The 13911-nt window shown below is 45.9% G+C and overlaps 1 pseudogene across 4 annotated transcripts in view, besides 3 other annotated features; it reads right to left on the reverse strand.

The window, feature by feature from the left end:
* The window catches only part of ALG1L1P (ALG1 like 1, pseudogene), a 61266-nt pseudogene that overhangs the window by 1024 nt on the left and 46331 nt on the right, over positions 1-13911 (reverse strand). The window contains exons 1-6 of one of the 4 annotated variants that reach the window (NR_171194.1): positions 6603-6884; positions 4141-4251; positions 3280-3401; positions 2355-2414; positions 1343-1457; positions 262-334 (exon numbers count right to left, since the gene is read on the reverse strand). The product of NR_171194.1 is annotated as an ALG1 like 1, pseudogene, transcript variant 1 (transcript). Of the gene's footprint in view, positions 1-261; positions 335-1342; positions 1461-2354; positions 2415-3279; positions 3402-4140; positions 4252-6602; positions 6885-13911 lie in introns of those variants that run through there. The other 3 variants (NR_171195.1, NR_171196.1, NR_171197.1) reach the window with 3 other exon arrangements.
* Positions 896-1396: an enhancer, noted in NCBI's record as "H3K4me1 hESC enhancer chr3:125650034-125650534 (GRCh37/hg19 assembly coordinates)". NCBI's record gives its function as "activates a minimal SCP1, AML or CMV promoter by ChIP-STARR-seq in naive H9 embryonic stem cells {active_cell/tissue: H9 hESC(naive)}" and the evidence as "EXISTENCE:reporter gene assay evidence [ECO:0000049][PMID:30033119]".
* Positions 1397-1897: an enhancer, noted in NCBI's record as "H3K4me1 hESC enhancer chr3:125650535-125651035 (GRCh37/hg19 assembly coordinates)". NCBI's record gives its function as "activates a minimal SCP1, AML or CMV promoter by ChIP-STARR-seq in naive H9 embryonic stem cells {active_cell/tissue: H9 hESC(naive)}" and the evidence as "EXISTENCE:reporter gene assay evidence [ECO:0000049][PMID:30033119]".
* Positions 6206-6706: an enhancer, noted in NCBI's record as "H3K4me1 hESC enhancer chr3:125655344-125655844 (GRCh37/hg19 assembly coordinates)". NCBI's record gives its function as "activates a minimal SCP1, AML or CMV promoter by ChIP-STARR-seq in primed H9 embryonic stem cells {active_cell/tissue: H9 hESC(primed)}" and the evidence as "EXISTENCE:reporter gene assay evidence [ECO:0000049][PMID:30033119]".

A 13911-nucleotide genomic window follows, 5' to 3' on the forward strand; every position in this document is an offset into this window, starting at 1 on the left:
CCTGGCTCCAGCATCATTTGTGGAGTCTCAGCTCCATAAATCCAGAGGGCAGGTGGGGGTGTGTCCTAACTTTCCCGAGCCTACTGTACCGAAACGGGACAGCAGAGTGGGCCGGCCTCTGTGACCTCTGCTCCCTCCCTAGCTTTTCCGCCAGATCCCACATGGTCCCACCCTGGCTGTGGGAAGCAGGGATCAGGGAGTGTGGCTCAGTGCCAGTCTCCAGAACCCTCCCCACCCTGGCGTGGTGGCAGATGTGGCTACCTGCAGAGCTGCCAGTTCCTCTGAGTCCTCAAAGACCAGGCCATTTTCTTCATGTTTCACCAGCTCATGTAAACTGCAGAGAGAACCAAGGGAGCCTGAGAGCTGCCTGGAGAAGACACCAGACCCCTGGGGTGCCCACCTGGGCTCCCCCCACCACCGCATGCTCAAGCCAGTCTGGGGGTTGGAACAGGGGGTGTGGTTTCCAGGAGCTGGTTCTTAGACTTGGCATCTGAAGGGTATAAAGGCCTGGGGGGGTGCACATCAAAATGGACAAACTGATTTGAGGAGGGAGCCTTAAGGAGGGTTTGTACCTTCTGTGCTGGATGCTCTTCAAGGACTGAAGAATTATTTTTGCATGTTTTTCTTAATTCCATGGCCATGGAACAAGTAAAGACAACACCCTGGGGACTGGCTCAGCACATAAAAGATGACTTTTCTAGGGCACCAGGTTTGATCCCGACATTTCCTGAGCTCAGTTCACATGAGGGGCTCACATCCCTGAATCCCATCCAGGAGCCAGCTCCTGAGCAGGGGCCAAGGGCTCAGCTTGTGCTGGGGCTACTGCTTCTAGAATCTCCTCTAACGCCGCCCTTCCAAACAGCCATCTATGCTGGGTGGAGTGAGGCCACAGCATGACAATCGTTTAACTGATTCAAACCCACCAGGTGAGCTTGGCCAAAAGGGACATGGTGGGAGAGAAAGAAACAAAGAAAACCATGTAAGCCTGCAGGCAATTCCCGCCAATTCTACTCTAGGAGCAAAAGCCCCGAGTGGAGTTCTAGTATTTGGGATGCTTTTCTTTCATACTAGGTTGGTGCAGAAGTAATTGCCACCTTTAATGGCAAAAACCGTGATTACTTTTGTACCAACCTAAATATAACATGAGCTCTAAATGGAAGCAACTACTTCAGTGAGGCTCAGCCCAGCCACAGTAACCGCAGGGCTCCTCCTCGTGGCCTCCAGTGTGTGCTGGACTGACCGAGGGGCAGGGCCTCACTGTGGGCAGCTCGCTCTGCACTGTTTCCTCCTCAGCGGTGGATCTGTGAAGCTATCCCCAGAAAGATTCGGGTTCTGCTCCTACCACTTGAAGTTCACGGCACACACAGGCAAACAGCACCCGAACATGTCCACCACCTTCATGGGCAGGTCCAGGCCACTGGAGGACATGTGCAGACAGACACCCAGGTCCACCGACCCTGCTAGGCAAGAGGGGTGCAGTCAGAGCGCTGGTCTCTGCCCTGGGAACACAAATCTTCCCAGCACAGTGAGGCAACATCCCGAGGGGAGTGAAAATCGGATAAGACCCCCGACAGCCCCAAGCACAAGTGGCTTAAGCTGGCCAAGCAGCCACATAGCCTGGCTGGGACATCTGAAAATGTAAGTTGACACTTTTTCTACTTAACCACAATTTATTTTTGTTGTTGTTGTTTTGGTTTGTTTCCTTTTGAGACAGAGTCTCACTCTGTTACCCAGGCTGGAGTGCAGTGGCACAATCTCAGCTCACTGCAACCTCCACCTCCCAGGTTCACCTCCCGTATGTAATCCCAGCATTTTGGGAGCCCAAGGCGGGCAGATCACCTGAGGTCAGGAGTTCAAGACCAGCCTGGCCAACATGGTGAAACCCTGTTTCTACTAAAAATACAAAAATTAGCTGAGTGTGGTGGGCCCCTGTAGTCCCAGCTACTCGGGAGGCTAAGGCATGAGAATTGTTTGAATGTGAGAGGCGGAGGTTGCAGTGAGCAAAGATCACACCACTGCACCCCAGCCTGGGCGACAGAGACTCTGTCTCAAAAAAAAAGAAAAAAAGAAAAAAAGACACCAATGACGTAACAACAACAAAAAAAAAAGATGCTTGGGAACTACTGAAAAAGTAGAAAGCTTGGTATCTACAGATTCAAATCTGGGCTCCCTGCCCTGCTGTGAAACCCTCTGAGCCTCAGTTTCCCCCATGTCAAGCAGTATAAGACCCTATAGCAGAGAGCTGCAGTGAAGATTAAGGAGACAAGATCGTGGGAAGCACAGGGTAAAGGCTGTGTGCCCCTCCCCCTCCACCATCCCCCAACCAAACAGACACCCAGGGTCCTAGGCGGTACCTGTTATCACACAGACAAGAGAAGGAAGGTTGTGTCCATCAAGAGTAAGTTGTTCAAACTCTGTGTTTAAAAAAAGAAACAATTCTACATGGAATTTCTGATAGAATTTCTTTTTTTTTTTCTTCTGACAGACTCTTGCTCTGTCACCCAGGCTGGAATGCAGTGGCGTGATCTCAGCTCACTGCAACCTCTGCCTCCTGGGTTCAAGTAATTCCCGTGCATCAGCCTCCCAAGTAGCTGGGATTACAGGCGCCCACCACCATACCCAGCTAATTTTTGTATTTTTAGTAGAGACAGGTTTTGCCATGTTGGCCTCGAACTCCTGACCTCAGGTAATCTGCCTGCCGCGGGCTCCCAGAGTTCTAGGATTACAGGTGTGAGCCACCATGCCCATTCAGAAAAAACGTTTTAAATAAACAGTAGCCAGAGTCACCTGGTCAGGTGGAGAAAGAGCACTGCTCTGGTGGGGAGGCCACCAGCCTCTGTGAGATACTCTCCTGGAGGGGGCATTTCAGCCTGAGGGCCTGGTCACTCAATGACCCAACTGAGGATTCAGGGCGGCCCACCTCCACCACCCCTGCTGTCCCCAGGCTGCCCCACCCAGTGGCCGGGGACAGCAACATGCTGCAGGCCAGGCAAGCAGCTCACAGCTCAGTGGCCCCCGACAAGCCCGGAGCTCCTCACCGCAGCTACACATCTACTTTCTAAAGCTGCCAGCAGGATGGAGAAGTCTTCATCCTCTATGAGAAGAGAATTGAATATCAGGGGCCTGTTTCTAGACACCCCTCTTCCAGCTCACATGCCCTCCCCTTCTCATTGAGACTGTGGTGGGGTGGGGGCATGCAGGACTGGTAGGGGTGAGGAGAACACAGGTTGGCCAGGTGCCCGTCACACCAACCCCAAGTGTTCCAGGGGTCGTGCAGACCTGTCCAGCCCGTGCTGCTGACCAGCAGGGCTGGCCACTCGCGGAGATGCATCACCAGCCTGCTCCCAGCATCCAGCTCCATGAAGGCCGACCGCTCCATGGCTGCGTCCTCAGGTTCTGAGCTGAAAGAGCAGGAAAAAAGCCTGTGAGAGGCCACAGAGCAGGCCCAGGACCCAGGACGGGCATCTCCTGCCGTGGCAAGGCCTGCAGGCTCCCAAAGGTTGGGGTGCCCGGCCACATCAGCAGCACCAGGCCACCCCTGCCATCCGAGGCCTGGGCTTGCTTTCTCTAATATTGTTGCTGGGTGCTAAGGTTACAACAGCAAACAAGACTGACTCATTCCTTTTCTCCACGGGACTTACTGTCTTGTCATCCCCTGGACTCAAGATGAGCGTGCAGGGACGCCATCCCACACCACCCCAGCTTACCCAGGGGCCCACCTTAGGGTGTGTGGACCTGCACAAAGGTCCCCTCTTTAGCCCCGTGAGACACCCCAGGGGACACACAGGTCCACAGATCTGCCACAGGCCTGGGAACCCACTGGCAGGAGAGTAAGACAGCGTAGGGGTCCACAAACATTTCTTAAAGGGCCAGAGAGTAAATACTTCAGGCTTTGCAGGCCACAGGTTCTCTGTTGCAAAACGTGATTCTGCTATTGTAGCTCAAAGGCGGCTGTAGACAACTCAGAAGGCAATGAGTGTGTTGTGTCCCAGTGAAACTTGATTTACAAAAGCAGGAGACTGGCCTGTAGCCTTAGTTTGCCAACCCCTGGATGAGTGGGTTCCCAGGTCTGCAGTGAGAAGGGGAGAGGCCAGGGCAGTGGCGAGCAGGAGAGAAGGCAGCTGAGGAGGGGAGGCCTACCAGGCCCTGAACAGAGAGTGAGTGCCACCCAGCTTCATGAAGAGCCGGTGCAGCAGGTCCAGAGGTGTCTCTTTAAAGAAAGATGCCGGCTTGTCATAGATGGTCACAGCCCTGCAATGAAATCATGGCAGGGCTATTGGGAGGGCTGAAGAAAGGCCTCAGGAATAGAGGACTCAGAGGCTCCAGGAAAAGAAGGACGCTTGGGGAATCCAAGTCTCAGACGATGACAAGAAGAAGCCTTGCAATCACTTGGGAATGCACAGGGAGACGTCCTAGGACCAAAACTGCCTGGACCCCCTGGCTGGTTGGGAAAGAAACTCTGCCCCCTCCTCTCCCGGCTTCCCCAAATTTTCCCATTATGTTGCCAAGCATTAGTCCAGCGTGGAGGCTACTTTCTGCTCAAACCACTCATTTGGGTCCCGCGCCCAACGTCACCCATCCTCAGTAAAACAACCTTTATTTCCTTCTTCCTGGTTTCCAGAAAGTTCCCCTAAAGCCCTGAGGAATCACCGAATGAAAGGGGCTTTTTACAAACAGGAAACTTAAGTGGAGTGCCAATACACAACATGGATTGCACCAGGCTAGGTCTAAGATAAAACCAGACTGTGGACAACAGGACAGATAAGACACACATGGCTCTGCACTGCCTGGGTCTGTTATTGTGTGGAGGAATGTCTTAGTCTGTTGCTCCTGTGGATGTGGCGAAAGCACGAACCAGGAGTTTTCATCCTTCATTTCATTTTCTTAATCTAGTTGTATCATCCTCTGGGTGAGCCTAGCCCACTTTAAAATGGATATTCAGATGTCAGAATGAATAGAGCAGTGTGCCTGACTTAAGTAATATCAAAATTTTAGACATGTGGAAAAGACGGAGTTGATGAAGCTACTGTTATCCAGAGACCATGACCATTCCGGGTGGTTGGTTTCGTTTCTAATGCACATCTGCTCCACCCCACCAATTGCTTTGCGCAATGTGCGGTTCTCATTACAAAGTCAACAATTCTTTATCATCTGCGTGGTCAGTCACCCTTTTGTTGTCCCTCCCTTGTAATTGTTTAATCTGGCCTCCCCTGCCACATTTCTTGGCTGCCTACTCTCCCCGCTCCTGTCAGTCAGGTTGTACTCAGGGAATGTAAATGCACAGAAAAAGTCCAGAGTCAATTAGAACTAATTAGGTGTTTTATCTGCTGCTTTGGATTATCCGTGCCCTCTATGGATACACGGCATAGGCTGGTTGAACAACCATCCCTGGATTGGGGAGCATTCTAAGACTCACACACAGCTTCCTATTGTCTGTGCTAACGGAGGTAAAGGCTGGTGTGAATGTACAACAGAGACATTTAAAAACCAAGGCATAGTTTATGCCCATTTTCATTGTACATTTTAGTGAGTGTTTACAGCTTTATATAACTGTCTGACCATCACCACAATCAAGGCATAGCATACTTTCAACATCACAAAAAGTTTTCTTGTGCCATCTCAGCCAATCTGGCCCTACCTTGGCCCCAAGCAACCACCAGTCTGCTTTCTGTCACTATAGATTAGATTTGTCTTTTCTAGGGTTTTAGTTTCTCCAATCTCCTTCCCAGTGATGTCTGGTTTAGGCTGATATTAAAATGTGTTCATGTTCCCTACATCCACACTGATTTAACACGGTGGGCAGAGCTGGGACATGGAAGAAACGTGAGAGGCAAGACGTGGAGGCTGATGAGCATAATTATTGGCAATGAGAAGAATGTTGGCTCTCCCCAGTATTTGTAGAATATGACAAAGCGGTGTGCCCATGTTGTGCCCTGAACCTATTTTCAAGGTCATTCAATACAGAGTCTCCTAAATTTAACTACCTAGGAATTGTGTTTTGCCTTGAATGGACATTTGGAAACTCCAGACTCTAGCCAGCCCCTCTCAGCCACGGAGTCATTGCTCCCCCTGGTGTAAACACAGAGACTAGTCACCCTGTGTCAGGCATTCCCACCCACTGCAGCCCTCCCTGGACCACAAGGAGCCAAGGGCAGGCAAGAAAGCTTCAGGCTCCCTCTGGCTGTTAGGTTCCTAGGTCAAAGGCTGAGTTTGTGAACACAGAGAAACACTAAGAGATCAACCGCTCAGGAACAGAGAGAAGGAAAACCGCAGAAACAGAACTAGCTAGACATGCAAGACAGAGAGGTGAGGGGGCACAGGCACAGCCCAAAAAACAAAGCAAGGAGAGGAGCCAAGATGGCCGAATAGGAACAGCTCCGGTCTACAGCTCCCAGCGTGAGCGACGCAGAAGATGGGTGATTTCTGCATTTCCATCTGAGGTACCGGGTTCATCTCACTAGGGAGTGCCAGACAGTGGGCGCAGGTCAGTGGGTGCGTGCACTGTGCGCAACCCGAAGCAGGGAGAGGCATTGCCTCACTTGGGAAGCGCAAGGGGTCAGGGAGTTCCCTTTCCGAGTCAAAGAAAGGGGTGACGGACTCACCTGGGAAATCGGGTCACTCCCACCCGAATATTGCGCTTTTCGGACCGGCTTAAAAAACGGCGCACCACAAGATTATATCCCGCACCTGGCTCAGAGGGTCCTACGCCCACGGAGTCTCACTGATTGCTAGCACAGCAGTCTGAGATCAAATTGCAAGGCGGCAGTGAGGCTGGGGGAGGGGCACCCGACATTGCCCAGGCTTGCTTAGGTAAACAAAGCAGCTGGGAAGCTCAAACTGGGTGGAGCCCACCACAGCTCAAGGAGGCCTGCCTGCCTCTGTAGGCTCCACCTCTGGGGGCAGGGCACAGACAAACAAAAAGACAGCAGTAACCTCTGCAGACTTAAATGTCCCTGTCTGACAGCTTTGAAGAGAGCAGTGGTTCTCCCAGCACGCAGCTGGAGATCTGAGAATGGGCAGACTGCCTCCTCAAGTGGGTCCCTGACCCCTGACCCCTGAGCAGCCTAACTGGGAGGCACCCCCCAGCAGGGGCACACTGACACCTCACACGGCAGGGTATTCCAACAGACGTGCAGCTGAGGATCCTGTCTGTTAGAAGGAAAACTAACAAACAGAAAGGACATCCACACCAAAAACCCATCTGTACATCACCATCATCAAAGACCAAAAGTAGATAAAACCACAAAGATGGGGAAAAAACAGAACAGAAAAATGGGAAACTCTAAAATGCAGAGCACCTCTCCTCCTCCAAAGGAACGCAGTTCCTCACCAGCAATGGAACAAAGCTGGATGGAGAATGACTTTGACAAGCTGAGAGAAGAAGGCTTCAGACGATCAAATTACTCTGAGCTACAGGAGGACATTCAAACCAAAGGCAAAGAAGTTGAAAACTTTGAAAAAAATTTAGAAGAATGTATAACTAGAATAACCAATACAGAGAAGTGCTTAAAGGAGCTGATGGAGCTGAAAACCAAGGCTCGAGAACTACGTGAAGAATGCAGAAGCCTCAGGAGCCGATGCAGTCAACTGGAAGAAATGGTATCAGCAATGGAAGATGAAATGAATGAAATGAAGTGAGAAGGGAAGTTTAGAGAAAAAAGAATAAAAAGAAATGAGCAAAGCCTCCAAGAAATATGGGACTATGTGAAAAGACCAAATCTACATCTGATTGGTGTACCTGAAAGTGATGGGGAGAATGGAACCAAGTTGGAAAACACTCTGCAGGATATTATCCAGGAGAACTTCCCCAATCTAGCAAGGCAGGCCAAGGTTCAGATTCAGGAAATACAGAGAATGCCACAAAGATACTCCTCGAGAAGAGCAACTCCAAGACACATAATTGTCAGATTCACTAAAGTTGAAATGAAGGAAAAAATGTTAAGGGCAGCCAGAGAGAAAGGTCGGGTTACCCTCAAAGGGAAGCCCATCAGACTAACAGCAGATCTCTTGGCAGAAATCCTACAAGCCAGAAGAGAGTGGGGGCCAATATTCAACATTCTTAAAGAAAAGAATTTTCAACCCAGAATTTCATATCCAGCCAAACTAAGCTTCATAAGTGAAGGAGAAATAAAATACTTTAGAGACAAGCAAATGCTGAGAGATTTTGTCACCACCAGGCCTGCCCTAAAAGAGCTCCTGAAGGAAACACTAAACATGGAAAGGAACAACCAGTACCAGCCGCTGCAAAATCATGCCAAAATGTAAAGACCATCGAGACTAGGAAGAAACTGCATCAATTAACGAGCAAAATAACCAGCTAACATCATAATGACAGGACCAAATTCACACATAACAATATTAACTTTAAATGTAAATGGACTAAACGCTCCAATTAAAAGACACAGACTGGCAAATTGGATAAAGAGTCAAGACCCATCAGTGTGCTGTATTCAGGAAACCCATCTCACGTGCAGAGACACACATAGGCTCAAAATAAAAGGATGGAGGAAGATCTACCAAGCAAATGGAAAACAAAAAAAAGGCAGGGGTTGCAATCCTAGTCTCTGATAAAACAGACTTTAAACCAACAAAGATCAAAAGAGACAAAGAAGGCCATTACATAATGGTAAAGGGATCAATTCAACAAGAAGAGCTAACTATCCTAAATATATATGCACCCAATACAGGAGCACCAAGATTCATAAAGCAAGTCCTGAGTGACCTACAGAGAGACTTAGACTCCCACACATTAATAATGGGAGACTTTAACACCCCACTGTCAACATTAGACAGATCAACGAGACAGAAAGTCAACAAGGATACCCAGGAATTGAACTCAGCTCTGCACCAAGAGGACCTAATAGACATCTACAGAACTCTCCACCCCAAATCAACAGAATATACATTTTTTTCAGCACCACACCACACCTATTCCAAAATTGACCACATACTTGGAAGTAAAGCTCTCCTCAGCAAATGTAAAAGAACAGAGATTATAACAAACTATCTCTCAGACCACAGTGCAATCAAACTAGAACTCAGAATTAAGAATCTCACTCAAAACCGCTCAACTACATGGAAACTGAACAACCTGCTCCTGAATGACTACTGGATACATAATGAAATGAAGGCAGAAATAAAGATGTTCTTTGAAACCAACGAGAACAAAGACACAACATACCAGAATCTCTGGGATGCATTCAAAGCAGTGTGTAGAGGGAAATTTATAGCACTAAATGCCCACAAGAGAAAGCAGGAAAGATCCAAAATTGACACCCTAACATCACAATTAAAAGAACTAGAAAAGCAAGAGCAAACACATTCAAAAGCTAGCAGAAGGCAAGAAATCACTAAAATCAGAGCAGAACTGAAGGACATAGAGACACAAAAAACCCTTCAAAAAATTAATGAATCCAGGAGCTGGTTTTTTGAAAGGATCAACAAAATTGATAGAACGCTAGCAAGACTAATAAAGAAAAAAAGAGAGAAGAATCAAATAGACGCAATAAAAAATGATAAAGGGGATATCACCACTGATCCCACAGAAATACAAACTACCATCAGAGAATACTACAAACACCTCTACGCAAATAAACTAGAAAATCTAGAAGAAATGGATAAATTCCTAGACACATACACTCTCCCAAGACTAAACCAGGAAGAAGTTGAATCTCTGAATAGACCAATAACAGGAGCTGAAATTGTGGCAATAATCAATAGTTTACCAACCAAAAAGAGTCCAAGACCAGATGGATTCACAGCCGAATTATACCAGAGGTACAAGGAGGAACTGGTACCATTCCTTCTGAAACTATTCCAATCAATAGAAAAAGAGGGAATCCTCCCTAACTCATTTTATGAGGCCAGCATCATTCTGATACCAAAGCCGGGCAGAGACACAACCAAAAAAGAGAATTTTAGACCAATATCCTTGATGAACATTGATGCAAAAATCCTCAATAAAATACGGGCAAAACGAATCCAGCAGCACATCAAAAAGCTTATCCACCATGATCAAGTGGGCTTCATCCCTGGGATGCAAGGCTGGTTCAATATACACAAATCAATAAATGTAATCCAGCATATAAACAGAGCCAAAGACAAAAACCACATGATTATCTCAATAGATGCAGAAAAGGCCTTTGAAAAAATTCAACAACCCTTCATGCTAAAAACTCTCAATAAATTAGGTATTGATGGGACATATTTCAAAATAATAAGAGCTATCTATGACAAACCCACAGCCAATATCATACTAAATGGGCAAAAACTAGAAGCATTCCCTTTGAAAACTGGCACAAGACAGGGATGCCCTCTCTCACGACTCCTATTCAACATAGTGTTGGAAGTTCTGGCCAGGGCAATTAGGCAGGAGAAGGAAACAAAGGGCATTCAATTAGGAAAAGAGGAAGTCAAATTGTCCCTGTTTGCAGATGACATGATTGTATATCTAGAAAACCCCATTGTCTCAGCCCAAAATCTCCTTAAACTGATAAGCAACTTCAGCAAAGTCTCAGGATACAAAATCAATGTACAAAAATCACAGGCATTCTTATACACCAACAACAGACAAACAGAGAGCCAAATCATGAGTCAACTCCCATTCACAATTGCTTCAAAGAGAATAAAATACCTAGGAATCCAACTCACAAGGGATGTGAAGGACCTCTTCAAGGAGAACTACAAACCACTGCTCAAGGAAATAAAAGAGGATACAAACAAATGGAAGAACATTCCATGCTCATGGGTAGGAAGAATCAATTCGTGAAAATGGCCATACTGCCCAAGGTAATTTACAGATTCAATGCCATCCCCATCAAGCTACCAATGACTTTCTTCACAGAATTGGAAAAAACTACTTTAAAGTTCATATGGAACCAAAAAAGAGCCCGCATCGCCAAGGCAATCCTAAGCCAAAAGAACAAAGCTGGAGGCATCACACTACCTGACTTCAAACTATACTACAAGGCTACAGTAACCAAAACAGCATGGTACTGGTACCAAAACAGAGATATCAATCAATGGAACAGAACAGAGCCCTCAGAAATAACGCTGCCTATCTACAACTATCTGATCTTTGACAAACCTGAGAAAAACAAGAAATGGGGAAAGGATTCCCTATTTAATAAACGGTGCTGGGAAAACTGGCTAGCCATATGTAGAAAGCTGAAACTGGATCCCTTCCTTACACCTTATACAAAAATCAATTCAAGATGGATTAAAGACTTAAACGTTAGACCTAAAACCATAAAAAACCTAGAAGAAAACCTAGGCAATACCATTCAGGACATAGGCATGGGCAAGGACTTCATGTCCAAAACACCAAAAGCAATGGCAACAAAAGACAAAATTGACAAATGGGATCTAATTAAACTAAAGAGCTTCTGCACAGCAAAAGAAACTACCATCAGAGTGAACAGGCAACCTACAAAATGGGAGAAAATTTTCACAACCTACTCATCTGACAAAGGGCTAATATCCAGAATCTACAATGAACTCAAACAAATTTACAAGAAAAAAACAAACAACCCCATCAAAAAGTGGGCGAAGGACATGAACAGACACTTCTCAAAAGAAGACATTTATGCAGCCAAAAAACACATGAAAAAAATGCTCATCATCACTGGCCATCAGAGAAATGCAAATCAAAACCACAATGAGATACCATCTCACACCAGTTAGAATGGCAATCATTAAAAAGTCAGGAAACAACAGGTGCTGGAGAGGATGTGGAGAAATAGGAACACTTTTACACTGTTGGTGGGACTGTAAACTAGTTCAACCATTGTGGAAGTCAGTGTGGCGATTCCTCAGGGATCTAGAACTGGAAATACCATTTGACCCAGCCATCCCATTACTGGGTATATACCCAAAGGACTATAAATCATGCTGCTATAAAGACACATGCACACGTATGTTTATTGCGGCATTATTCACAATAGCAAAGACTTGGAACCAACCCAAATGTCCAACAATGATAGACTGGATTAAGAAAATGTGGCACATATACACCATGGAATACTATGCAGCCATAAAAAATGATGAGTTCATGTCCTTTGTAGGGACATGGATGAAATTGGAAATCATCATTCTCAGTAAACTATCGCAAGAACAAAAAACCAAACACTGCATATTCTCACTCATAGGTGGGAATTGAACAATGAGATCACATGGACACAGGAAGGGGAATATCACACTCTGGGGACTGTGGTGGGGTGGGAGAAGGGGGGAGGGATAGCATTGGGAGATATACCTAATGCTAGATGACGAGTTAGTGGGTGCAGCGCACCAGCATGGCACATGTATACATATGTAACTAACCTGCACAATGTGCACATGTACCGTAAAACTTAAAGTATAATAAAAAGTAAAAATAAAAATAAAAAAAAACAAAAAACAAAGCAAGAAGCGATAGAGGGATGATTTTTTTCTCCATTTATGAGACATCCTAAAAATTTACTCCTCTGCCCAAAATAGATTCATATCCAGGATATGAGAATCCTTGAGAAGTGTATTTTAACATGGAAATGCTGATAAATCTTTTAAACAACTTATACACCTCCAGGTGCTGCTTAATCCCTTTAAACCTCCAGTAACTCCATCCATGGTGTTTAAAGTCTCATAAATCTGCACTAGCTTAAAATAGGGCAATATAAATCACGTTTAGGGGGTTGGGAATAGGGACAGGAGATGGACATCCCAATGCCGTTTAAAACCACAGCACAGGCTTTTCATCAAATTTTTCCAAGAAAAGTTAAAATGAAAAACATTCAGGTTTCTGGGTTGTGGTTTCATAAGTTCTCAATTTGTTCTTTTTCCTTTTTTTCAGGGGGGTGGGCTGGGGTCCAAAAGAGCATTGACTAGCTAGTCAGTTGGAAAGAAAAAAATTGCAAACACCCATCTCACTTAGTCCTTTTACACAAAATAAAACCAAAAAGAGAAAATAATAATGAAATACTACCAGAAGTCATTAGAAAACAGCAATGTTTCTAGTAAAGCACCAACAAAAATAATGTCTGGCTTTTGTTAAATTGTTAATTTATGCCAAAAAATAAAAGTTATAGATACTATTCTACTAATAATAGCTACTTTTACTTTCTCATTCCTACCACATGCCCAGCACCTACCACTGAGCTGAGGACACACACAACCACCTCCTCCTCATCCCCCTGCTACAAAGGCTGTCAGACTTTTTCTGGCTCCACATTCATAATATTTCTCATTACAAACAGTGATTCTCAACAGCTGTTTGAGAAGCTGCTGGAGAAGCCACACTCTCCTAGAAAATCCAGGGGGTACATGAGAGATCCAGCAGGGGAAGGCTTTTCTGTGTGAAGAGCTTTGGGTACATTATCTAATTTTATCCCCACAGCAGCCCCATGAGAAATATTATTATTATTTCTGTTTTACAGATGAGGAAGCTAAGGTTCAGACTGTTTAAGTAATTTACCCCAAGTAGCACGGCTGGTAAATGATGGAGCAAAAATTCCAACCCCGAGTCTGCTTTGGAAGACCTGATCTTATCCAGGATGCCATCTACCTTCTGTGGGGCAATAGACCCAGACCACAGAGCATTTGGAAGAATCTCACATATCACACTCTAAGAATTGATATGTTTTCTGCTTCCTCTTTTCTGGCCTGTCCCAGTGACCTTTCAAACCCCAAAGTCTTGGAAAAATCCACTGTGTTAACTGACTCTTTACTGAAACTTCAGTCCTGTAGAGAAAATAAGAGTCTCCAGCTTGTGTCACTTGCTTCAAGTTCCAGTTGGCCTGCAGGGACGTACCACCAAGTGATCCTGGGAAAACACCGGAACTTTCGTTTCCCTACGTACTAAATAGGGATCTATAAGACCTATCTTTGGGGTTGTTGTGAGGATTAACATGTGGGAAGACTATCTGGAGCCTGCAA

Source organism: Homo sapiens, chromosome 3 (genome assembly GCF_000001405.40).
Source record: "Homo sapiens chromosome 3, GRCh38.p14 Primary Assembly".
Classification (NCBI taxonomy): Eukaryota; Metazoa; Chordata; class Mammalia; order Primates; family Hominidae; genus Homo; species Homo sapiens.